The sequence below is a fragment of the Homo sapiens genome, chromosome 9 (genome assembly GCF_000001405.40).
Source record: "Homo sapiens chromosome 9, GRCh38.p14 Primary Assembly".
Classification (NCBI taxonomy): Eukaryota; Metazoa; Chordata; class Mammalia; order Primates; family Hominidae; genus Homo; species Homo sapiens.
In genome coordinates, this window is record NC_000009.12 from 124,294,447 (window position 1) to 124,318,892 (window position 24,446).

Below are 24,446 nucleotides of genomic sequence, written 5' to 3' on the forward strand. Positions count from 1 at the left end.
GCGCCATTGCACTCAAGCCTGGGCGACAAAGCAAGACTCCATCTCAAAAAAAAAAAAAAAGTGCCGAGATGAAGGAGGGTCGAGAGATCTGGTCCTGGCAGACAAGTGGGACTTTGCCCATTGAGAGGCACCGATGGGTCTTTAGTCCAAGGCTGGTGCATGGAATGACATGGAAGGACCAGGGTGCTGTGTTGCTGGGGAGGGGGACCGCTCATTTAATATGGCTGCACGCAAGGCCTGGGGGATGTTGGGGGCAAATGCATGAGGGCAGGCTCGTGTCAGGTGGTCAGGGAATGGCTTGCTCCGGTGTGCGGACCTTTTGCTGTGGAGTTTCAGGAGAGATTGGCAGGTTCAGGCTTGTGTGTTAGGAAAACCTTTCCATGGTGGGCTGGAGGCTGGGCTGCAGGGGAGTGTGGAGGCTGAAGGTAACTGTAGGGACCCAATGAGAAGGGACAAGGCCAGCACAGAGTGGAGGCCCTGGGGTGAGTGAAGACATTTGGAGGAAGAATGGTTGGGACTGGATGAAGACCAGGTGTGGGTCCTGGGGGAGGGCGAGGCATCCGGAGGCTACAGCAGCCCTGTTTCTGGGTGGGCACCGTGTGGCCCCCAATCAGCTGGCCTCCTGATGCTGCAGGCCCACCCTGGGGGAGGCCCCACCACCCTGAGGAAGGGGGCAGCGGGGAACCTGTCTGCATGGCCACCTTCCAGGAGTGGCTCATGGTCCTGCATCCCTGCACCTTAGAGCAGCCAGGCTTCCGCTGTCATGGAGCTGCAGAATCCGGGCAGGATGCTTGGCTTTGCAGGTGGAGAGCTGGGGCGAGCGTGAGGGAACACAGGACCCGGCCGGAAACCAGACTCCATCTGTGGCTTGTCCCCTCCAGCTTGACAGGCCCCCATGACTCTGGCCTGAGATCGGGCTGCTTCCTGTCAAGTGATGAATGGGCAACGTCTGCTTATCCTGAGACCAGACAAGAAGCGGGGCTGGGGCTGGGGAAGGGCCCAGCAGCCAGAGCCACAGCTCTGGGCCAGTATTCATTCAGTCAGTCATTTATTCACACCCTCTTCCAAGGCAGTTTGGACCAAGGCAGACTTGGTTTCGAGTGTCAGTTCTGCCTGCCGCCTGCTGTGTGACCTGGCACCCGTCACTCAACCTGTCTGAACTTTGGTTTCTCTTCTGAACAGTGTGGATCATAGCAGGGCCCGTCTAGGGGTCTGTAAGTGTGAACGAGGTATGAGCGGCACTGGGCACCTGCCTGGCGCATGTGTGGTGCATGCTCTGTTGGCGGGGGCTGTTATTCTGGTGCTCCCTGCCAGCCAGTGTGCCTGGGCGTGGCATTCCTTACAGCCCCTGGGCTTGCGCTGAGTTTCTTTCTGTAATTGCTCAGTCTGGCTGGTCTGAGAAGCAGGTTCAAATGGCAGCTCTCTCCACTGTGTGGACTCAACTTTGGCAAGCCATGTTTCTCCATGGAGCCTTAGTTTCCTCATCAACAAAACAAGGGTGATGGTACTTTGCAGGTGTCTTGGGAGATGCCGTTTCACCCGTGGATGTTGGCTGATGTTGAAGTTGGTCCGGCCTTGACCCAGCCAGTGGCCAGTGCAGTGAGCTGTCCTTGCCGGGCCTCCGATCTTCAGCTCCCTGGGGCATGTGTCGGGCAGTGGAGCCTCTGCAGGCTGGCTGAAGGCCCCAGGCAGTGGGCATCCATCCTCGGCTTCTGCCACCAGGAGCCAGCTGGACCAACAGACATCACCCCTGGTGCTGGCACTGGTGCTGCCAGTACCATTCGCTCGGGGCGGAGAGAAAGCTGTGTGTGCCTGAGTGTGAAGCCACAGGGACGGCTTCCTGCTTTAGGGAAAACAACCTGTGAAGCTGTGCCCTCGGCTGGAGGCACAGAGGAGGGGCCTTGCTCAGGGAAACTGGAGAGGGGAGTACAGTGTCTGGCCAAGGCTGACCTCCAAGGCCAGGAGTGGGTTCTCCCTGGGCTTGGCAACACCTGTCAGTCTGGGAGCCACAACTGCCTTTGCCACGTCTACCCTCTGCTTCAGTGGACAGAACGAGCCTGGTGGACATTAGATGACCCCTGATCATGCCTGTGCACGTGCACACACAGGAGCAGAAGAGGCAGGCAGGACACACACCGTTACCACCTCCAGGGTTCAGAGCAAGGAGAGGTGTAAGATCCAGTATATGAATGCACTTCCATGCATGGACCCCAGTACACATGGACCCTTGCAAGCTCATGCCCCCAAACCTGCTCCAAGCAGGGTCCTTGGACAGAGCCCTCCTGGTGTCTGAGGTCGTGCTTCACTGGCCGGGCCACGATGAGCCACCAGTCTCCATGAAGTGTGGCATTTGACAGGAGGCACAGGAATGACTTCCCCCTAGGTGAAGTTTCCAAAAATTCAGAGGCAAGGGCCCAATGACAGCCTTGGTCAGAAAGGCCACTTGGAACCTCAGAGCCAGCCCATTACAGCAGCCGATCCCTTCCAGCAGGTGCCTGGATTAAAACCAAGCGCTCATGTCTCCCTAGGGTCACAGCCCACATTAGTGAGAGCCTCATCCATGGCCGGGCAGGGTGCGGCACAGCAGCTGGCTTTGCAGAGGCAGCCACGGCTCACGTAGATGATGAAGACGTTTGCTCCAGAGCAGTCCTAAAGAGGCCATGCTGCGTAGGACATAGAGCAGCAATCTTGGGTCCAACAGCCCCAGCTGTGTCATTTACCAGCTGTGTTACCTGGGGCAGGGATGACCCTGGGCAAGTCCCTGCCTCAGGCCCCATGTCTGTCACATGGAGGTGATCACGCCTCCATTGTACAAGTGAGGGTTAGCTTCAATAGCTAAATAGCCTCATAGCTAAAGCCTCAGAGGTCCCTTCCCATGTGCCAGGCTCTGTGCTAAGGAGTTTACAGTGACCCTAAGAGGAAGATCTGACTGTTAGCCCATTTTCCAGATGAAGAAACTGAGACGCAGCATGGTTAGATGAAACCGGGCCAGGACCTGGACTCCTGCAGTCCAGCTCCCCGCCAGCCTCACTGAACCCTGAGGCTTCTCCCAATCTGGTCCCTCGGTGCCTGGGGACACACAGCACACGGCAGCCTAAAGCCAGGAACCTGAGCTGGGAAGCCTCACTGTGCAGCTATCCACAGTGTTTTGCAAATGTAGGGCCCTTGCTTGAGGCAGAAGAAAAGCCCTCTTTGAGGTGGTGTTCAGTGTGGCCTGCAGCTCTGGGTCTTGCATTCCATGGATTTTTGGCCCCTGACTTGGGCTTGGCAGCTACTACCTCATTGTTCTGCAACTTGGCAGGAGCCGCGGGATCCCGGGGACGGGCAGTCCTCAGTGTTACCCCGAGGTGCCTGCACGCATGTGCTAAGGGTCTTTTCCCTGCTCCGTGTGGCTCGTCCTTCCACGTCCCCTTTGCCTTGGCCTTTCTGCATCTGAACCCCCTAAGAAGCAGTTTCTGACAGGAATTTCCAGAGCACAGGGCTTGGGTTTCTGTTGGGGTGTGGACCAATAGAACAAAATGCCCTAAAATCCAATACCCATGGAGAGCCCCAAGAGGCAGTAGATTCCTTGGAACAAAGAGGGAGTTTAGAGTCACTGAGATCTGGATTTGAATCCTTTCTCTGCAGCTTATCAGCCTAATGGCATCGAGCCTCTTCCTCTGAGCCTCGGTTTCCCCATCTATAAAATGGGTCTACCAATAGCCCCGAGGGTGAATGGGAAAGACCTGGCCCACAGGAACCCTCATCCCTTCCTTTCTCCCTTCCTCCTTCCCCCTCGCGCCTCCCCACCTCCTTCCCCTCAGCAGGGACCCTCTCTGGCTCTCGGTGGGTAGGGGCTTGCAGAGTCCTCCGTGGCTGCTGCTTTCCTAGAACAGGGAACATCAACACCTGCCGGCTCCTCCCTGGAGGCTAACGGTGCCGCAGGTTCCATTAGGTTCTGAACAGAGCAGCTCGTAATGACTGGGGTTTGGCAGCAAAGGCACCACTGGGGTAGACAGTGGTGCTGCATCAGCTTGCTGTGGTCAGTGGGGCAGAGTCTCCGGGGGCTCCTGCCCCTGGGGACCCTGTGGAGGAAATGGGCCCTTGTGGTCCGCCAGCCCTGAGATCACCCCTGTGCATCAGCAGCACAGGCCCCATTCTCAAGTGGAGAGAGGGCCCATTCGGGGTGGAGCCAGCTGGAGAGATGATGGTGTTGCTGTGTAAGAACCTGTGGGGAGTGCAGTACCGTAGTTTTGGACAAATATGCAGTTGTTGGTTCAAATCCTGGCTCCTTTTGTCTGTGATCCTTGGGACCCGGGCAAATCTCTTAACCTCTTCGTGCCTCAGTTTTCTCATCTGTGAAATGGGACCATAATAGACCTTACCTCATGGAGTTGTTGACAAAATGAGATGGGCTAATAGAGGTGAAGAGCGTAGGGCAGGGCCCAGCATGATCAGGGCCCTGCAATTATTAGCTCTTATTCCCGGTCCCCCTTGCACTGCTCCTGGAGCCCTGCCCATGTGAGGCCACAGGTGAGCTCCTGAGAGTGTGCAGACCATGGCATCTGGCTGCAGCTGTTGGAGAATGCGGTCAGCGCCACGTGGGGAGGGCAGGAATGACATTCCCAAGCACCCGCTAGGCTCCTCCCCAGTGGGATTTGCCCAAGGTCTCAGCTGGTGAGTGACAGGGTCTAGATTCCACTGCCACAGTTTCCAGTACATGGGAGGCCCCAGGGCAGGTGGGCGGGTAAGCCGATGTGTGCATGGGTCTCGCAGGGGTGACCTGTGGGCCAAGGCTGGTGCCTTCTGAGATAAAGATGGAACCTTCTCACTGAAGACAGTTCTCCACTCTTTCCCTGGAGGTCTCCCTAAGGGCAGAGGACAGTGAGCATGTCACCCTGAGGGGTCTAGGGGTGCAGCTGGAAGCAGCTGCAGAGCCTGCAGGAGGCTCAGTTTTATCTTCAAATTCATGCGCATTTTACATTCTGCTCTCTCTCATATTCCCCCTAACAAAGATGCCTGGGGAAGGTGCTCGTGTTTATCTGTTTATCCTGGGGCTCTTTATACCCTGGGTCTTCCCCTGTGTCACCTTGGGATGTCACCTGCGCTCCAGTGCAAGAACTCGGCACAAATGGTGGAGACACCGAGGGTGCCATTTTCCCATCTGCATTTGAGGGCTTGGCAGGGAGAGCACTGAGCGCTGGGAGACCCAGGTGGGGAGATGAGGCCTGTGCTGAGGCAGAGGCAGGGGTGGGGAGGGAAGAGGCAGGTGCACCCATAATGCCCCTCCGTGTGACACTGATCTGACAGTGCTCTGTGTGCACAGACTAAAAAGACAACAAGAGACCTACTGACTGATCTGTCCACACTAGGATGAACCACATCAAATGGCCAAGTCTGTGGGTCAAAGTTGGTTGAGTTTCTGCAGCTTCCCAAGCAGGAGACTGCATGAGCCAGGCTTGGCAGGACTTGCAGCCAGCGAGGGCCCCCCTGACCCTGAGTTGGGCGTGTTCTGCAGTCCATACCATCCACTTCCCTGCAGTCTCACATCCTGTCATCTATTTTGAGAGAGCAGGTTTACCCCAGAACAGTCTGTGGAAGGTGTGGGGCAGGGAGGAGAGCTGGGCCGCCCTGAGGACACAGAGGGAGAAGGGTGCTGGGAGCCAGCCTGCAAGTTCTGGGGAGCCTCAGGGTGCCTTTGAGGGCACAACTTGGGAGGCCAAGCTCAGCGGGTGAGTTAGGGTTTGGTGGACATCCTTTGACATGTCAAAGGGTGTCACAGATATCCCTGGAGCCTGAGAGGTCTGGTCGGCCCACCACTGTGGCTGGAAACAGACTACAGTGGGGAGGAAGGAAGAGTGACTTGCACCCTGAGACACAGTGGCCGGACCTCTAGGAGCTGGCTGTGACAGCCCGGAGGGTGTTGATGCCTTTCCCACCTCCTGGAACACCCCCGTGTTAATGGGGGCGTGGGTCTACCTGGGAGGGAGTGGCAGGGCTGCTGGCCCAGCAGACCGGGGGAAGACTCTTGGTTTGGAATTTGACTGGGGCATAGGTGACCAGGTGAGACAGCAGGAGGCGGGGTCTGTCTGGAGAGAGATGACGTCTTTGGCTGGGTCCTCCAGAAGCCAAACTTGAGATGGGGATATGTAGGCATGGGATTTATGAAGTGCCCCTGGGAGAACCACTCAGGGAGGAGGGAGGGCAAGGCCAGGAATGGGCAGGAGACGGACCAGAGGTTCCTTCTCAGACAAAACCCGCTGACCGCGCCGGGGGCTCTAGGATACGAGTCACATCTTGGAGGGCCCCGACCTGAGACGGGACTGGCTTTCATTCTCGCCCCCTCAGCTGTTGAATAAGGGCCACCGCAGGGGAGGGGGCTCCATTCCTCAGGACTTCTGGCTCTCCAGGGGTACAGCTGAGCTGCTCCAGGAGCCTAGGCCAGGCCTCAAGGGGTTCTGCCTAGGATGTGGTCACATGAGAGGTGCCCCTCGGGACATCCAGGGCTTGTCTGGGAGAAGGAGCAGCAGCCAGAAACAGGGGCCCCATCACATGTGTGATCTAGTCCCTTCCATGCACACCATGTGGGAGCCCTGGCACACAGGAGGTGCTGCAGAAATGCTTGTGGGGTGAGCGCAGGTCTCTCCTTCTGGGGAGGAGGAGGGCTTTTCCCCTGGCATCAGGAAGCATCCCGGTGGCTGGGTCACACAGGTTCTATGCACATAACCTCAGACCCTGCCCCAGAAGCACTTGTCTGATGGGGGAGGCCAGAGGCTAAAATATTGGGGGAGATGCCCAGATGGCCTTGAGCTCAGGACTGGGCACACAGTGGGTGCTTAACCAGGGGCCTGTGGCTGCTGTGACTACCTATGACCAGCATCTCTGACTCTCCCAGGGCAGCCCAAGCCCTGGAGGCTGAGGGGGGCTGTTCCTTTGCACAGAGGTCTAAGTAGGACGGCAAACAGGACCTCTTGGCCCTGGCCTTCCCTGTGTCACACGTGTGGTGCGCCAGGGCCCAGCCAGGACAAGGACGTAGGTTCCTTCCCACAGCAGCTGTCTGCAGCCTGACCCAGGCCTTTCTCTTCTGAGCACCCAGGCTGCCAGCATGGGTATAGGTGGGGGTGACAATGGGGGATAGGGGTACAGAACTGCTCCCCAAGAAGCAGGGGCAGTGCTGTGGAAAGAACAAGTCTTTGGACTCCAGCAAATGTGGGGTTGAATCCGGTGTCTTCCTTCCTGGCCTTGGGGGCTGCTGATGGACGTTTCCCTGCCTGGAGCCTCTTCCAGTGGGGATAATCCTAGTGACTTAGGACAGTCTAACAGAAGGAGACTGTGTCACCCGGGGGTGTCAAGTTGTAGCCCTGCCACTTCGGAGCTGGGTGACCGTGGGCAAATTACTGAACGGCTTTGCACCTCAGCTCACGCATCTGTAAAATGGGGTGAGCGAAAGTCCCTCCTCCTTCTGAGGGTCTCAAAGAGAAAGTGAACAGGCCGCTGTTTTCTGTTGCAGTTCGTGCCCTCGTGAGGCTGGCATGCAGGATGGCAGGACAGCCCGGCCACATGCCCCATGGAGGGAGTTCCAACAACCTCTGCCACACCCTGGGGCCTGTGCATCCTCCTGACCCACAGGTAAGCCCCTTACCTTTGTCTGCAGCACACTGAAGAGTTCCCAAGGAATACGGATCCCTGAGCCTCCTTTGTCCAAACTCCTACTGGTGGAAACCCTTCAGCTCCCTGAAACAGAACCTCTTGAATGCTTCCAGTGATGGGGAGCTCGCTACCAAATCTAGTGAGCTCATCGTTGAATTCAGTAATACTCAGAGAAGCCTCCTCTGCCAAGCTCTAGGCTGGGACCCTGCACCCTGATCCTGCCCCTGGAGTGTTCCAAGTGGATGGAACAGCTTTATCTCAGGGATCAGCATGGTTGGAAGGGTACAGAGGGTGCTGTGGAGGCCCTGAGAACAGCGAGGGACTCAGAGGAATGGGCTGACTGTACTGTGGGTCAGAAAATTCTTTCTTACAGTGAGCCAACATTGCCTCCCATTTTGGTCTTAACTGTGTTTCAGCCCCCTTCAGCCTCTTCTAGAACCAGCAGAGTTTGGGAGAACACTGGCTTCTTAACGCCTGCCTCTCGCTCTCTCTAGATACCTTGGAGAGCCAGGCAGCCTTCAGCAGCTTTTCTGAAGGTGACTTGTAGGTTTCTGAACTGCCTTGTGTACCCCATGCTGCCCGGGCCTGGCACGCCCTCTCTGACCCCTCTTCCAAGTCAGTGCAAATGCTGCTCCCTCTGGGGAGACCTCCACTTCCACCCTGCTCTCTGCTCTGGGCTGCCCGCACACCTGTGTCCACACACCTGGGTGATGCCCGTGATCACATCTCACTGGGGCACTAGTTCCTGGGTCTGCCTCACTTTCTAGATGGAGAGCTCCCCTGGAGCAGGGCTTTGCTGGTGGGACAATCCCACACCGGGCACAGAGGGGCCCCGCGTGCTCGCTGAGTTAAGGAACTGTGCATGTGTGTGCTGTGTACCCACTTGGGACGGGGCTGTGTGGAAAACACTCAGGTCTGCTCTTACGGAGCACACAGCCTCATGGGAGAGAAAGATAAGGAGCTGAGCAGAAGAACCTTGCGGGCCTAGGGAGCCCAGCAAGGCACCTGATCCGGGGCCAGAGAGGCTTCCTCATGGAAGTGGCATGCAAAGGCCTGGAGGGGACAGAGAGCTTGTCTGGGCAGGTTGAGCAGAGCCAGATCCTGTAGGGTCCTGTGGCCAGCTTAGAATGATGAAAAGTTCTCTTATATGGTGTTGGCTTTTTCTCCAAAGGATGTGAGACCTAAATTCAGGGGAGGTTCAGAGATAGCCACCCTCCTGAGCCATGGAGGGCTTGATTACAGCTTCTAACTGCCTAATCCCTCTTGGAAGACTTCAGATTGGCTGATGTTTGACCTCAATGGCAAGGTTGCCATGTACAGTTGTACAGGTTATGCACTGCACAAAGCTTCTGGGCTAAGGAGGCAGGTAGGTCTGAAATCCTTCTCCTGTGCTTGCATTATCACCAAGCCATGCTCCCTGGTGGACAGCTGCATCAGCCCAAGGAGGGCGGTGATGCTGCAGATTGACACAGAGGCGACACGTTGAGCTTAGTGGACACTATGTTTGTGTGTGTATCTGGTGGGGGTGTGTGTATATGCATACACACAAGCATGCAGAGGGTCCATGGGGCATCTATGCTATTTGTACTCATGCAGGGGCCCATTTCCTAGGTAGAATTTGGGGAGGCAGATCCCAGAAAGCTGGGAAGCCCCAGGACACTGTGGGTCCAGAGTCTACCAGGACATGGTGCTGATGGCTGGGGGCAGCAGGGCCTCCTCGGGTAATGTAGCAATTTGTCATATTAAGTCATTCACTAACAATTGAATCCCCCTTGATTAATCTCCCAGAATTAGCCAGTTGCATTTTGAGCAATTAGGGTTAATTACAACCTCATTTGGCAGAGGAGAGGGCCCTGTAATTATTTCATGAGCAAGGTGAAGAGGCGGTGGGCTGCAGTGGCAGCGTTCACGACGTCTCATCGTTCATGTTGGAGAGGGTAATGACATAGTTAAGTGTAATTAGTTACGATTACTCGGAGCTGGGCTGCTCTGGGCAGCGGCTGTCGGGCAACGATGCCCCCAGTCCCACCAGCATCTGGCTGGGTTTGCAGAATGGGGGCGCAAGGCCACCCATGTGCCGTGCCGGCTCCAGGTTGGGATGGGAAAGGGGGACTTTCTCCTCGGCTCCTGAAGCCTTGGGGATTTAAACACTGTCTGGGGAGACATCCCAGCCGTGTCTCGCCTGTTTCAGGACATAGAAGCACCTGGAATTAATGGGCCAGGCATTTTCCTTGATAGCAGGAGGCACCGCTGCTTCCCTGAAACCATCCTCAGAGGAAGGAGCCAGGCTAAGAATGCTTTGATGTGGGCCAGGCTGTTTCCGCACCCAGCTCTCCGTCTCTCATTAGCCGGGTGAGACTAGGAAAGCAACCTCTCTGAGCCTCAGTTTCCTCATCTATAAAATGGGATAATAATGCCGCTTCCCTCATGAGGCGGCTGTGAAGACTAAGTGAGATAGTTACTGTAAACATCCAACACAGCACCTCACATCGTGGGTACTGAGGAAATGGTATGTCATGGATCTTATATTTTAAAAACCATTTCTGTTTTCATAGCTAAAGGCCTCCGAGCTGGATAATACCCCCAGTGTAGAAAGAAAGAAACTACAACCACCTGAACTGTGGTTTTTGTTAACCTGCTATGCCCAAGGCTAGTGGCTTGTTCATTTCAGGAAGCTTTCTAGCCTTGAGAGCCAGCAGCACATGAAAAAATATTTGCTGAAACCGGCAGAACCATATATGAAATTCATATATACTTAGGAAAGCTGAACATACTTGCTTTTATAGAGGTTTCTAATGAATGAATGAATGGAATTGAGGAAAGAAGCTTAAAATGCCTCATGCTTTTTAAATTTTACCAATGTGCTGCAGAGAGCTTTCATTGGGAATGAAGTGTAAGCCTCACCTGACACACTAAGAACCACGTGAATTTCCAAGAAGGGGAAAGGTATTCTTGCCTGAGAAAGCCCCGGCTAATGTGTCTTCCATCTGGAAAGTCTTTGCAAAGCCAGTTGGGATGTGCCAAGTTCAGTTATATTTGGGTGCTCTTCCGAGAGAACTTCGCAGGGGATTGGGTCAGCTCTTTCTAGGTGTGCATTGCACAGGCCAAAATCTTTATCAGAATCTTCCCAAAGCAGTGATGCTAGTTGGTTAAGGTTTAATGACCAAATATCAATGGCTATTAAAATTCAGTTAGTGGGCCGGGCACGGTGGCTCACACCTGTAATCCCAGCACTTCGGGAGGCCAAGGTGGATGGATCACCTGAGTCTGGAGTTCAAGACCAACCTGGGCAACATGGTGAAACCCTGTCTCTACTAAAAATATAAAAATTAGCTGGGCGTGGTGGTGTTCACCTGTAATCTCAGCTACTTGGGAGGCCAAGGCATGAGAATCGCTTCAACCTGGGAGGCAGAGGTTGCAGTGAGCCGAGATTGCACCATTGCACTCCAGCCTGGGCAACAGAGTGAGACCCCATCTCAAAAAAAAAAAAAAAAGAAAAAGAAAAGAAATTCAGTGTCTGCTAACTGCTGTCAATTCAGCAACTGTTTTTTTGGGGTTTTTTTCCTGCCATGGGAAGTGCCCAGTGCCTGCCTTTGGGGGCTCCCAGTCTGCTGAGAAGCTCTGCATGTTGCAGAGAGGTGGAAGCTCCCCGGGAGGGATGGACAGATGCTGGGAGAGCCCAGAGAATGGGGAGGCCAGTTCTGCTAGATAGATGATCAGGAATTTGGGGTGGGACAGGGAGAGGCCCCAGACCTGAAGGTGCATGGCCAATCAGGTTAGAGAAGTTGTTGAAATACCTATGCTTAGAGAAGGTAAAAGAATGTATGGTGTTTATGAAGGTCTCAAATCCATACTATCTCATTTGAAATTGAATCTGTAGCAAATGAGGAGCCCATTATGGGTTTTCAGGTGGCAAGGGGGTACTTGGGTTGGGTTCTAGATAGATCACTGGTGGCTCGTGCTCAAGGCTCAGGGAAGGTGAAAATAGGGAGGTGAGGAGGCCCCTTCTTCACCAGGTGAGATGATGCCTCATGGGGCTACAGCACTGGGGGCTGGACATGGGGAGAGAGGGTTCCAGAGACTTCCAGGGGAAAGCAGCCTCACTTGGTAGTGGAAGGGATGAGGGAGAGGGGTTGTCAGGAGTGGCAGCTGGAACTCTTTGTGGTTTCGCCCTTTATGTCTCTGCTTGTGAGTCGTCGGAGCTGGTTCCATATCATCTTTCGTATGTGTAAGCTTAGCTTTTTCCAGACTCTGTTAATGAGAATTGTCCTGGGGGAACCATAATGATTTAGATCGTTTTGGGTTTTGTTATTAGGAGTCTTCCATGCGATGGGCATTGGCTCACTGATCCCATGAGCCAGTGGCCCACGGAGTGCGGTGCAGACGTCTTAGCTGAGCCAGTAATGGTGGTGTTTGTACCAACAGCCCAGTGCCTGGGACTCATCTCACTTAGTACTCCTGCTGACTCAGAGGAGTTGCTTACTCAATGCTCTATTTTGCAGGGAAGGAAGCTGATGTCATAATCTGCCATCGCACCGTCAAGGGGCAGAGTTGGGATTGGGTCCAGGCCCATGGGACCCCACAGTGCCGCTTTGGGCAGCTAGATCTTTGAAAGGGAAGATGGGCTTTGGGTCTGAAGTTAGGCAGATCGTGAGGAGCTGAGCTGGGCTGGCCTCAGAAGAAGTCTGACAATGTGAACTCTTTGTAAATTGTGCCCTTTTGTGCAACACAGATTTAAAATATATCGCTATATACACATCTACCAAATCCATTAGAGTTTCCCTACCCACAGTGTCAGATGTCTTTAAAGGTGAAATTCGTTTATAAGAAATGTCATCCTGATGAAGTGTGCTTTTTAAAATCATAGAAACGGTTGCCTTAAAATTAATGATGCATTGCAAATATCAGGGAAAAAAGACCCATCCAGTGTAAAGATGATTAAAATTCAGGTCAGAAGTCTGACTTAGTCAGGCTAAATTTTTTAATGAGATTTCAGAAAATTAATTGGGCGAATGCATTTTTATTCTTTTAGCATGTAATTTTATGCTCCTGTTTAAAAAAAAAAAGATTCGTCTATGGCTGAGGCTGATTGTGGTTCAAACATTTTAAACTCAAATTAGCGCAGGGTGGGGGGTGTTTGTGGCCTAATTTGATCTGACTTGGAGAAGACAGCGTGGGTTTCTCAGAGCTTTCTGGGTGGGGGGTAGCTATAGTGGTCTGAGACATCCTCCCTGCCCCCCAGTCTCCCAGTCATGCCCTGCCTCTTCCTGAGAATGCCAGCGACATTTCTTGGGAGGTGGGATTGGGATGGCGGTGGCTCGGGGACCTTGGCCATCTCATTGGCTCCTGCTCACCAGTTTCCTGCTGCTCCCCAGGGCCCTTGTTCCAGCGGTTCCTCCACCCTCCTCCTCTCAAATCCCATGTGCCTGCCCCAGGCAGCCCAGGCCTTCTCCCTCGTGCCCACGGTGACAGGCAGCACAGCGAGTGGTGACACCGCAGGGTCAGCCTCCCTGTCCCCCGGCCCCTCGATCAGTCTCCTCTGCCTTTGGGGAGAGCTGAGGGCCTCCGTGCCCTGGCAGAGGAGCCTGAGGAGTCAGAGGTGGCCTCCTATGGTGTTGCCCCACAGCGCAGCCCTGGAAGGGAGGCTGAGGGCAGCTCTTGCCTAGCATGGTCCCTTGACAAATGGTCCTGGGTGACAAAGTCGCAAGGTTGTGTCTCTTACCTGCCCACAGGTGCACGTCGTCAGCCCCACCGCCTCACTGCAGCCCCCAAGGTTACCGCCAGCCGCCGAGGGGTGGGAACGGCAGGGTGATGATATCAACAGCCAAGAACCCCCTGGGCTTGTCCACTGCTCAGGCCGTCCCAGTCCCCGGGGAAGCAGGTCCACCACTAGGCCCATTCGACAGATAGCAGCACAATCACCGTCACCACGACTGGAGAATGACATGTCCCAGCACCTAGTGCCAGGCCCTCTTCCAAGGGCTTGCATTTGCTTATCCATTTAACCCCCAGCAGCCCCCTGAAGGGGGTACTGTTATGATCTCCTCAGTTTCCAAAGAGGAAACTGAGGCCCAGAAGCCTTGCCCAAGGCCCACAGCTGGGAAGTGGCAGAATTGAGGTTTGAGCCCCAGCCTCCAGGCCCCAGCATTGGAGTCTCAACATCAGAGCCAGAGCAGTGGTTACCCCTCTGCCAACTTGTGCCCTGGGGTGGGGTTGGGGGTGTTATTTTCCCCAGGAGCCACAACAGGGTTTCACACAAAGCAGGGACAGTGAGCAACAGAAACCAGTTTTCTGGGCTGGGTGAGGTAGCTCACACCTGTAATCCCAGCACTTTGGGAGGCCGAGGCAGGTGGATCACCTGAGGTCAGGTGTTCAAGACCAGCCTGGCCAACATGGTGAAACCCCATCTCTACTAAAAATACAAAAAATTTAGCCCAGTGTGGTGGCGGGCACCTGCTACTCCCCAGCTACTTGGGAGGCTGAGGCAGGAGAATCGCTTGAACCCGGGAGGCGGAGATTGCAATGAGCCGAGATCGCGCCACAGCGCTCCAGCCTGGGTGACAAGAGCAAAACTCTATCTCAAAAAAAAAAAAAAAAAAACCAGTTTTCTGAAAGGCCATCGGGGTGGTCGGTCATTAGTCAGCAGTGATCACATTTGGGGCCACCCTGGGCGCACTGTTCTGGGGCCAGCCCCACGCCCGTCTTGCAGTTTAGAGCCACACCAGACACTAATCACCAACATCATCTCCCAGAGTCCTCAGAGAAATCCTGGAGCCAGTGTTACTGTGCCTGTGTGTGGACGACCAGCCCAGGGTCACTTGGCTGCAGGGGCAAAAGTGGAACTTGCGGGGAGCTGACCCAGGAGCGGGGGAGGTCTTGGAGGTGGCGACGGAGCAGCCAGGCCTTCCAGGCCAAGGACACAGTTCACCCTTTCCCTTCTGCTGAGAGCCCCCAGGTGCACCAGGGCCAGGACTCTGCTGGCCCAGGCAGCTGCCCCCAGGAGCCTGGTGTCTCAAGGTGCCCCACACCTGAGCAGAGGCCACCCTGGGGACAGCGTCCTGTGGCAGCCCTGGGAGTGCAGTGGTGCCCCAGAGCCTGCTGGACCATGTCCCCAGCACACGTGCTCCATCTAGGAAGCTGCCCCACCAGAGGAGCTGGCCTCTAATTGGGTCGGATGGACTGTGACAAGAAATGCAAATCTGGGTCATCCATATGCGTGTGAGCAGCTGGAGCCCCAGCCACCTCCACCCACATCCACCAGGAGCTTCGGCCCCACTGTGGAGCTGCACGGTGTAGCCTCCCAGGACGGGCAGTGTTGGGAACCCCGGCCAGACTCCCACTAGTCACAGTAAGAAGCCTGGTCTTCCAGGGCAAAGACCCTCAGGGACCACTTCCTCCAAACCCTTCACTGTGCCTGGGGGAAACTGAGGCCCAAGAGGGGAGGGAGCCCACCCCCATCACCAGCAGTGCAGCTGGCTCTAGATCTGACAGGGAGTTCTAGCCTGTTTCCTGATTTGCGAGATGGGATTCATAACCCTTGCTTCATGAAGCTATTAGGAGTTTGGAGACATAGAGCTGTCTAAGCAGCTGGAAACTAGCACATAGTAGGCGTCTAACGTACAACACCTCATGGTTATTTTTATGAGTACGTGCGATTCTTCTAAGTGCTCAGAAAGCCGCCCTGGCTGTTTATGAGGGTATGTGATTTTGGCTGCATTCCTAGAGGTGACGGCGTCTGAGTCACAGAGTCCCACTGTGCGCCAGGTCGTGTCAGGCACATTCCATGTGTCATTCCACAAACATGCTCCAAGCAGTTGCTCTGGGGTCAGAGCCTCAGTGCAGAGGACGTGGAGGGGACTAGACAGGGGCCCCCTTTTGAAGAGGCCGGTGGCGGGTCCTGGGGCGGGGCCTGGGGCAGGGCTCAGGTGACTGAAAGAATGGAGGCTGGAGCAGGAAGTGGCAGGCCTGGCCGGTCAGGGGGTCTTGAGTGAAAAGCCGAGGAGGGATCTGAGCTGAGAGCCCACCCGATACGGAGCAAGAGCTTGGGCACCACAGTCCCCAGTCCTGGGGTCACACCCCAGCTCTGCTGTTCTTTGCTGCCTGATCAGAACAGGTCACTGCTACCCCTCCAAGCCTCAGATTCCTGAAATGGGGACAGCAGTGAGGCCCACTCACAGGGTTGTTCTGAGGACCCAAAGAGTGGGCGCGTGGGCGGTGTCTGCACAGAGCCCAGCATGCAGTAGACACTCAGGATGCCTGCTCTTCTTAGGTGGGTGCTCTGTGTACAGGTGTATTTACCCGACAGACATTGGCACATGGTGGATAAAATCATCATCTTCCTCCTCCAGCAGCCCTCCAGATCGGGTCCTCTGGCAGGACCCACCATGAGAGGTAATTAGGCCTCGAGGCTTCAAAGTCAAGGTTGGCCCAGCCCTCACCTTGCTGTGTGCTGTGAGGCCTGGACTCCCATCACTCACTCCCGCAGGAGGGTGTTCTGTAGAGTTCCCTCAGCCAAATCTGGAAGAGACATTTTCTTTTTTTTGAGATGGAGTCTCACCGTCACCCAGGCTGGAGTGCAGTAGCACGATCTAGGCCAACTGCAACCTCCGCCTCCCAGGTTCAAGCAATTCTCCTGCCTCGGCCTCCCAAATGGCTGGGATTTACAGGCACCCACCACCACACCCGGCTAATTTTTGTGTTTTTACAAAAATTTTTTGGCCAGGCTGGTCTCAAACTCCTGACCTTAAGTGATCGCCCGCCTCGGCCTCCCACAGTGCTGGGATTACAGGCGTGAGCCACTGCGCCTGGCCTAGAAGAGACATTTTCACTTTACTTTTTTCCCTGCTTTTCCAGTGAGTTTCTATTATTCATTAAGTCATGATTCAGGGTCCCAGAGTAGGGATCACCACATAACCAGGTTCCCCTCAGGCACTCTGGGAGAAGGACAGAGGAGAAGTTGATGGACCCAGCTTAGACCTGCCCAGGAGACGTGCCCCTGCTCCGCAGGCATCTCAGGCTGAGACGCAGCTGGTCCGGCCAGCAGTTCCTGGTGTTTCCAGGTGGGGAAGCAGCTGTCAGAAGGGCCAGTCCTGTAGTTCTCGGTTTGGTCTTGATGCCTTCCGCCAGGGTGCTGGCTCCTAAAGACGCCTCGGTACGGTGCCCGGCTCAGTGTGACCCTCACCAAAGACCCACTTCATGCTAGAAAGTTGAACTGCTTGTTCTGGCTTCACTAGGGGCGGTGGCATGGAGCTGGGTGATGTGGGCATGGCTGGCCCCTCTGGGCCTCAGTTTCCTCATCAGGCAAATGGAGACACAGCCGGGCCCATCTCACCATAGGGCAGGCCAGAGATGTGGCATCCTCTCCCCTTGTCTGTCTCCTCCTTCCCTGGCCCACTGTTGGCGCCCCCTCCTGCCTTTTCCTGAGAGCTCACTGCACAGGTGTCCTGGGGTCCTCCTGGCCACTGTGGTCTCACCTGGAGGCTCCATCCCTGGGCAGGTCCTAGCGCAGGATCATGTGTTCCAATGCTGGCCCCTGCAGAGTCTTTGTGGAGCTCTGGTTTCTTCACGACACCCTAAAAAAGGCAGTTTATCTAAAGGATGGGCTCAGGGTGTAAGGCTGCACATTTTTTTGAGAGGGGGACAGAGTCTCCATCACCCAGGCTGGAGTGCAGTGGCATGATCTCTGCTCACTGCAACCTCTGCCTCCTGGGTTCAAGCGATTCTCATGCCTCAGCCTCCTGAGTAGCTGGAATTATAGGCATGGGCCACCACACCCAGCTAATTTTTATATTTTTAGTGGAGACAGGGTTTCGCCATGTTGGCCAGGCTGGTCTCGAACTCCTGACCTCTCGAACTCCCGCCTCAGCTCCCAAAATGCTGGGATTACAGGCGTGAGCCACCACACCTGGCCAAGGCTATGAATATTAACCTTGGTTTTCTTGTCTGAGATGGGGAACGGCTGCCCCAGGAAGGGAACTTGCCATTTCTTATGATGACCTGGGGCATTTTGCATGGTGGCCACGGGCTGGGGATACATGAGCTGCACCCGGCTTACCGGACCCCAGTTTGGGCATCAAGGATTCAGGAGAGGATGAGACGGGCAACGCCCGTGGTCCCACGGAGCTAGCCCCCAGGGATGGGACTCAGAGACAGCAAACAAACAAGCAGTCAGACAATGAAGGTGGTGATGAGGGCAGTGGGGAGCATGAACAGCCTCAGTTTTTCACCTGCACTGGGGGTCCTTGAGGGGACCCAGGGGACCCTGTGCAGAAAGCCCCCTGGGGGGGTGCCTGGGAGGCTCCCAGAGCAGGGTTGGCAGCAGAGTCCCTCCTTCACCTTAGAGGGTGCTGTTGGGGTGCTGGGCCTCTAGGGGTCGTCCCCAGGCCTCTGCTGCAGCCTGGCTGCTCACGGAGGCCCTCTGTCCCCCGTTCCAGAGGCATCCCAACACGCTGTCTTTTCGCTGCTCGCTGGCGGACTTCCAGATCGAAAAGAAGATAGGCCGAGGACAGTTCAGCGAGGTGTACAAGGCCACCTGCCTGCTGGACAGGAAGACAGTGGCTCTGAAGAAGGTGCAGGTGAGCTGACAACCCGTGGGGTCAAACCTGCATCTCGGGAGGTGGTCTCTGCATCTGGACGGGGTGCCCGGGCCAGTCCCTTCTCTCCCCTCTTCTGTGAACGAGGGAAACAGCACTCAACTCACTGGGTTACAGAGAGAACCAGGTGGACTCCTATTGATGAAAGTTCACTGTGAACTGCAAAGGAAAAGAAAAACGAGCATGCATTGAGCGCCTGCTGTGTACTGGGTCATGCAAGGAGCACATGGAGCCTCTCAACAGTCCCGTGGGTGGGGATTGTCATTTCATCTCTCAGATGAGGAAAATCTCATAACCGCCAGGGCCCCAGCATGAGTCTTGGGGGAGCTGAGGTTCATACCATGTCCACCCATCCTTGCGCCTGCGGTTGCTCCACAGTTCTGGGCTTCCTGCCTTCTGCGTCCCTCCTAAATGGAGGAAGTAGGTCAAGCGGCAAAGTCAGGACAGGAGCCATGTCCATGAGAGCCGCTGGGCCCGTCTGAACACAGCTTTGCCGGAGGAAATGGCTTTAAATCCTCCAGCAAAGCTTCCCAAGCCCCTTGATTTGCTTACTTGTCCTTAAAGAACAAGATTGAGAGCCTGGGCAGAGGAGGGCCGGGAGAGAGAATGGCGTTGGGGAAATGGGGAGAGAACACCCGCAGCTTCAGGGCGCTGGAGGAGTAGCAGGGTCCTCTCTGTCCAAAAAAGGACCAGTTTCTCTCTTGATCTTGTTTTTTTTTTGAGATAGAGTCTCAGTCTATCACCCAGGCTGTAGTGCAGTGGCGTGATCAGCTCACTGCAACCTCTGCCTCCCGGGTTCAAGCGATTCTCCTGCCTAGGTCTCTTGAGTAGCTGGGACTACAGGCGTGCACCACCACACCCAGCTAATTTTTATATTTTTAGTAGAGACGGGGTTTCACCATGTTGGCCAGGCTGGTCTCGAACTCCTGACCTCAAGTGATCCACCCACCTCAGCCTCGCTGGGATTACAGGTGTGAGCCACTGTGCCTGGCCCGCCCTCTCCATCTTCTGGGGAGGGGCTCACCTGGGCTCTCTGTCTTGGTTCTTTAGTGCCACGATGGGTTTTGTGGTGGGACAGTGCTGGGGGGACCCACAGTGAGCAAGCCCTACAGGGGCTGGGAGTGCAGGGGGGGGTCACAGAGTCCCTTGGTGAGGAGGTGGGAGAGCCGGGACTGGAAAGCAGACCCCGTGGCCTCCTTTGGGTCACTGGACACAGATTGTAACCACTCTATTTCTCTTTTTCCTCCCGCCCAAGATCTTTGAGATGATGGACGCCAAGGCGAGGCAGGACTGTGTCAAGGAGATCGGCCTCTTGAAGGTGAGCACCCTGGGCCGAGCGGGAGCTTTGCCTCCTCGGGGAGGTTCTGGGGCCGCGGCTGGGCCACATCATGTCCATCACAGCCCTTGGGTGCCAGGAATCCGCAGCCCCTGCTAAGTTAACAGACGATAGCTTTCTAGGGGCAGCGGCTAGTGAGTTTTCTCCTGGCCAGGCAGGAGCGGCCCGCCTCATCGCTCTGCCCAGCCCTTGGGGTCGCTGCCTACAGCCTTTCCTCCTTGCTGCACGCCCCTCCTGCTTGTACATGGCAGTACCCGGCATAGAAGTCCTTCCCCACAGGGCAGCCCTGACCCTGCCTCGCAGTGGCCTATGGACCAGGCTTGGCTAGGGGAGGAGTTCATTGTGGGGACCACATCCAGACTGCAGCCTGTCTGGCTCTGCCTCTGTCTCTATGTCTGTCTCCCTGTTTTTCTCTTTCTCATCCTCTTTCCATCTCTCCTCTCAGCCTTTTTCTTTGGTTTTGTTGGTAGTGGTGGTGGTGGTGGTGGTGGTGGGTTTTTTTTTTATTTTAGAGGCAAACTCTGTTGCCTGGACTGTAGTGCAGTGGCATGATCATAGCTCACTGCAGCCTCAAACTCCTGGGCTCAAGCAATCCTCCCGCCTCAGTCTCCCGAGTAGCTGGGACCACAGGCGCATGCCACCACACCTGATTTTTATTTTTTATTTCTTTTGTTTTTTTTTGAGACAGAGTTTTGCTCTTGTTGCCCAGGCTGGAGTGCAGTGGCACAATCTCTGCTCACTGCAATCCCCACCTTCTCGGTTCAAGCAGTTCTCCTGTCTCAGTCTCCTGGGATTACAGGCACCCACCACCACACCCAGCTAATTTTCATATTTTTAGTAGAGACAGCGTTTCACCATGTTGACCAGCCTGGTCTCAACCTCCTGACCTCAGGTGATCCATCCACCTCAGCCTCCCAAAGTGCTGGGATTACAGGCGGGAGCCACCGCACCCGGCCCCCCATGAAACATACTGGATTTGCTCGGCAGTTTCCAGCAAAGTGGGACTGCTGGTGGCAGGGCTGCCCGCCGAAGCCACAGCTGCAGAATTTCAGATTAGCAGTTTTTTCTGCCACACGCTGCCCTGTGTTCTCAGGCCTTGGCCCTGCTCTTGGGGACTTCCAGGCTGGTGGGGAAGCAGGTAGGAAGCAGATGGTGACCTTCCAGGGTGATGCAGATTGACTGGTGGGCCAGGAGCCCCAGGGAAACCCGCTTCCTGGGCAGGCCTCACAGAGGGCAGGGCACCATCCCAGAATCTGGAAGGCCGAAGTGAGCCTTCTTCCAGGCACCGCAGCACCGTGGATTATGGGAGGTTGGGGAGACAGAAGGCTGGACATGGCAGCAGAGCCAGATACACACTCAGAACAAAAGGGGAGCCCCTGAAGTGGCTGCAAGTCGGGGGGCCATGGCTGGGTGTGAGTTGTGAGTGCCTGCTCTGGTGGCCCCCGGCCACAGTGGGTGAGGGAGTCAAGGCTGGAGGCAGGAGGTGTCCTTACCACTAACTATTATAGGTCAAAAAATATCCCTCGAAAACATTGTTTAAATGTTTAAGTAATGGTCAGCTTGCTGCCACTTACCCAGCCCTGAGGAATGTTTGTCCTGATCACCCATTGCCCCCTCCCCACCTCATGTGCCCTTCTCCCCGAGTGAAGGAACCCACAGGTGAGCATGCTGAGCACAGCCTGGTCTGGTCCCTGGTCACACAGATGTGCCACCGCAGCCCCTGCCTTGCAGGAGCCTGAGCCTGGCGTAAACCCACATGGCTGCAGAGGGGATTTGGTCCCTTCTCCAGGGCTGCCATGCAGCCAAGGGCACCAAGCCGGGGTTTCAGAGGACACACCCCTCGCTCACTAGCTGTGTGGCTGCAGGCCAGCCATGGGCCTCTCAGGACCTCAGTTTCCTCATCTGTAAAGGGGGCATGATGACAACAGGGACGCTGGAGGAGTCAGTGAGGAAGCATGTCTGACGAGCTCAGGGCAGCGCTGGTGTGTGGTACGCTCGCCGCCCAAGGCAGCCCAGTTGTCATGGTTGCCACCTCTGCCCGCCAATGCCAGCCGCCTTCCCGAACACGGGTCCCACTCCACAGGTAGCCCATGGGAAGTCAACAGGATGTGCCAGGGCACGAGGTGCTTCCTACAAAACAAAAGGAAACGTGGTTTTCGGAGGGGTGACTGTTGACATATCACATCATTCATGCAAAGAACCCAAACCCAAAACCTCTCAAGTGCGGGGGCTGGTGGGGTCGGCAGCTGCCAAGCGTGGGACAAGAAGGTGGGTCCTGTTGGAACGCAGGCGTGTGTTCATTCATTCTGTGCAATTTCTGATCACCACTGAATGCTGGACACCAGGGTGCAGCCCAGTGGAGAAGACAGATCATAGACACTCTGTGTTACATCCGGGAGGGCCTGGAGCTTGGGAGCAGAGCCCCTGATGGCAGAGATTCAAAGGACAGGGACCCTTACTCTCAGCTCTCCCTCCCTTCCCTCTGGCCACCACCACAGCCAGACAAAGCCCAACCACATTGCGTCTTTGCAGCACCTTCCCTGTCCCTGACCCAAGTGTGTCCCCTTCCAGACCCACCTGGGCCCACCAAGAGGCCACAGGCTGTGAAGTGGACTCCATGTGGACCAGGTTCTAGACTCAGCTCGGCCCCTGCTTGCTGTGGACCCGTGGCTGATCCCTTCCCCTCTCTGGACCTTGGCGATTTAGCCCAATGGACGTCTGGAGCCCCTTTCTGCCTGTGCCTGTGTAGACTGCCTGGGCATTTAAGGGAGCCCTTCCTTAACCCCCTGCCCTCAGACGTGCAGGGAAATGGGGGAGGAGTCTCCCTCCTCCCCTCCCCAGGAACCAGCGCCTCCTTGATGGGGCTTTACTTCCTACCCAACCCCTCTCATTTCTCCCTTGTTGGAGAAACTGTGTCATGCCTGGACTGCTGATGACCTGGGCAGTTTTTGGGGAGTCCTCCCTGAGAGGTTGTGAGATTTCCTGGTGACATAATGAGGTGAAGTTCAAGAGGAGGGTGAAGGAGCAGGGTGTTCCCATTTATCCTCATAGCAGCTTGCCCACGCCGTAGGTCATGTCTCAGAGATTTGAAGGCACTTTCAACTTGCCATTCACTTGCTTTGACACTTTTTTTGGTAACTGAAAAACATGTCTATGGAGCATGATGTGTGCTGAGGGCAGCGATGTGATGGCCAGTGTTCGCGCAGGACGTCCTTTTCAACACAAAATCTGGGCAAGAGGATTTTCTTTTCTTTCTTTCCTTTTTTGATAACAGGGTCTCGCTCTGTCACCCAGGCTGGAGTGCCGTGGTGCGATCTCGGCTCACTACAACCTCCGAGTAGCTGGAATAACAGGTGTGCACCACCACACCCGGCTAATTTTTGTGTTTTTGTAGAGACGGGGTTTCACCATGTTGGCCAGGCTGGTCTTGAACGCCTGACCTCAGGTGATCCACCCGCCTCGGCCTCCCAAAGTGCTGGCATTACAGACATGAGCCACCACGTCTGGCCCACCTTCTTTTTTAAATTTCCATTTTTATTTTAGATTCAGAGGGTACACATGCAGGTTTGTTACAAGAGTATATTGTGTGATGCTGAGATTTGGGCTTCTGATCCCGTCACGCAGATAGTGAACATCATACCCAATGGGAAGTTTTTCAGCCCTTGCCCCACTCCCGCCCCCTCTTGTAGAGCCCAGTGTGTCTACTGTTTCCATCTTTATGTTTGTGTGTACCCAGGATTTAGCTCCCACTTATAAAAGTGAGAACATGCAGTATAGATATGTTTCTGTGTTATTTCTCTTAGGATAATGGCCTCCTGCTGCATCCGTGTTGCTGCAAAGGACATGACTTTTATTCTTTGTTGTGGCTGCATAATATTCTATTGTATACATGTACCACATTTTCTTTATCCGGCCCACCATTTCTGCGCACCTAGATTGATTCGGTGTCTTTGCTTTTATGAATAGCGCCGTGATGGACATACAAACCCATGTGTCTTTTTGGTAGAACCATTTATATTCCTTTGGGTATATACCCAGTAATGGGATTGCTGGGTCAAATGGTAGTTCTATTTTTAGTTCTTTGAGAAATTTCCAGACTTTGTTCCACGGTGTCTGAACAAATTTACATTCCTACCAAAAGCATAGAAGTGTTCCCTTTTCTTCGCAGCCTCACCAACATCTGTTATTTTTTGACTTCGTAATAATTGCCATTCTGACTGGTGTGAAATGGTATCTCATTGTAATTTTTTTTTTTTGAGACTGGGTCACACCCTATCATCTAAGCTGGAGTGCAGTGGTGTGATCATGGCTCACTGCAGCATCAGCCTCCCAGAATCAAGTGATCTTCCCACCTTAACCTCCCAAGTAGCTTGGGCTACAGGCCTGCACCACGAAGCCCAGCTAATTTTTTTTTGTAGTGACAAGGTCTCACTCTGTTGCCCAGGCTGTTCTCAAACTCCTGGGCTCAAGCAGCCCTCCCACTTCAGCCTCATGAAGTGCTGGCATTATAGGCATGAGCCCCTGCACCCAGCCTATTGTGGTTTTGATTTACATTTCTCTGATGATTAGTGATGTTGGGCATTTTTTTCCTGTTTGTTAGTTGCTTGTATGTCTTCTTTTGAAGAATCACTGTTCATGTCCTCTTCCTACTCTTTATTTTATTTTTATTTATTTATTTTTTATTTTGAGACAGAGTCTTGCTCAGCCACCCAGGCTGGAGTGCAGTGGCATGATCTTGGCTCACTGCAACCACCGTCTCCCGGGTTCAAGCGATTCTCCCATCTCAGCCTCCTGAGTAGCTGGGATTACAGGCACCCACCATCATGCTCGGCTAATTGTTGTATTTTAGTAGAGACGGAGTTTCACCATGTTGGCCAGGCTGGTCTTGA

The 24,446-nt window shown here is 54.8% G+C and overlaps 1 protein-coding gene across 21 annotated transcripts in view, besides 9 other annotated features; it reads left to right on the forward strand.

Annotated features, from left to right (window-relative positions):
- Positions 1-24,446, forward strand: part of NEK6 (NIMA related kinase 6) — a 95,702-nt gene that overhangs the window by 36,841 nt on the left and 34,415 nt on the right. For all 21 annotated transcript variants that reach the window (XR_007061235.1, XR_007061234.1, XR_007061237.1 and 18 more), the window contains 3 exons: positions 7,490-7,608; positions 18,063-18,203; positions 19,477-19,539. Coding sequence is in view for 13 of the 21 variants with exons in the window: in NM_001166167.2 (NP_001159639.1) it covers positions 7,490-7,608; positions 18,063-18,203; positions 19,477-19,539 (323 nt within the window). In the remaining 8 variants the exon portion in view is untranslated. The remainder of the gene's footprint in view (positions 1-7,489; positions 7,609-18,062; positions 18,204-19,476; positions 19,540-24,446) is intronic.
- Positions 435-514: an enhancer, noted in NCBI's record as "active region_28980". NCBI's record gives its function as "activates an Ori minimal core promoter by ATAC-STARR-seq in GM12878 lymphoblastoid cells {active_cell/tissue: GM12878}" and the evidence as "EXISTENCE:reporter gene assay evidence [ECO:0000049][PMID:35858748]".
- Positions 745-814: an enhancer, noted in NCBI's record as "active region_28981". NCBI's record gives its function as "activates an Ori minimal core promoter by ATAC-STARR-seq in GM12878 lymphoblastoid cells {active_cell/tissue: GM12878}" and the evidence as "EXISTENCE:reporter gene assay evidence [ECO:0000049][PMID:35858748]".
- Positions 1,958-2,865: an enhancer, noted in NCBI's record as "H3K27ac-H3K4me1 hESC enhancer chr9:127058683-127059590 (GRCh37/hg19 assembly coordinates)". NCBI's record gives its function as "activates a minimal SCP1, AML or CMV promoter by ChIP-STARR-seq in naive H9 embryonic stem cells {active_cell/tissue: H9 hESC(naive)}" and the evidence as "EXISTENCE:reporter gene assay evidence [ECO:0000049][PMID:30033119]".
- Positions 4,680-5,585: an enhancer, noted in NCBI's record as "H3K27ac-H3K4me1 hESC enhancer chr9:127061405-127062310 (GRCh37/hg19 assembly coordinates)". NCBI's record gives its function as "activates a minimal SCP1, AML or CMV promoter by ChIP-STARR-seq in naive H9 embryonic stem cells {active_cell/tissue: H9 hESC(naive)}" and the evidence as "EXISTENCE:reporter gene assay evidence [ECO:0000049][PMID:30033119]".
- Positions 14,034-14,881: an enhancer, noted in NCBI's record as "H3K27ac-H3K4me1 hESC enhancer chr9:127070759-127071606 (GRCh37/hg19 assembly coordinates)". NCBI's record gives its function as "activates a minimal SCP1, AML or CMV promoter by ChIP-STARR-seq in naive and primed H9 embryonic stem cells {active_cell/tissue: H9 hESC(naive and primed)}" and the evidence as "EXISTENCE:reporter gene assay evidence [ECO:0000049][PMID:30033119]".
- Positions 14,964-16,163: an enhancer, noted in NCBI's record as "P300/CBP strongly-dependent group 1 enhancer chr9:127071689-127072888 (GRCh37/hg19 assembly coordinates)". NCBI's record gives its function as "activates an origin of replication core promoter dependent on BRD2, BRD4, P300/CBP, MED14 and CDK7 cofactors, with strong dependence on P300/CBP, by STARR-seq in HCT116 cells {active_cell/tissue: HCT116}" and the evidence as "EXISTENCE:reporter gene assay evidence [ECO:0000049][PMID:35650434]".
- Positions 14,964-16,577: a biological region, named in NCBI's record as "P300/CBP strongly-dependent group 1 enhancer GRCh37_chr9:127071689-127072888".
- Positions 15,730-16,577: an enhancer, noted in NCBI's record as "H3K27ac-H3K4me1 hESC enhancer chr9:127072455-127073302 (GRCh37/hg19 assembly coordinates)". NCBI's record gives its function as "activates a minimal SCP1, AML or CMV promoter by ChIP-STARR-seq in primed H9 embryonic stem cells {active_cell/tissue: H9 hESC(primed)}" and the evidence as "EXISTENCE:reporter gene assay evidence [ECO:0000049][PMID:30033119]".
- Positions 20,795-21,295: an enhancer, noted in NCBI's record as "H3K4me1 hESC enhancer chr9:127077520-127078020 (GRCh37/hg19 assembly coordinates)". NCBI's record gives its function as "activates a minimal SCP1, AML or CMV promoter by ChIP-STARR-seq in naive and primed H9 embryonic stem cells {active_cell/tissue: H9 hESC(naive and primed)}" and the evidence as "EXISTENCE:reporter gene assay evidence [ECO:0000049][PMID:30033119]".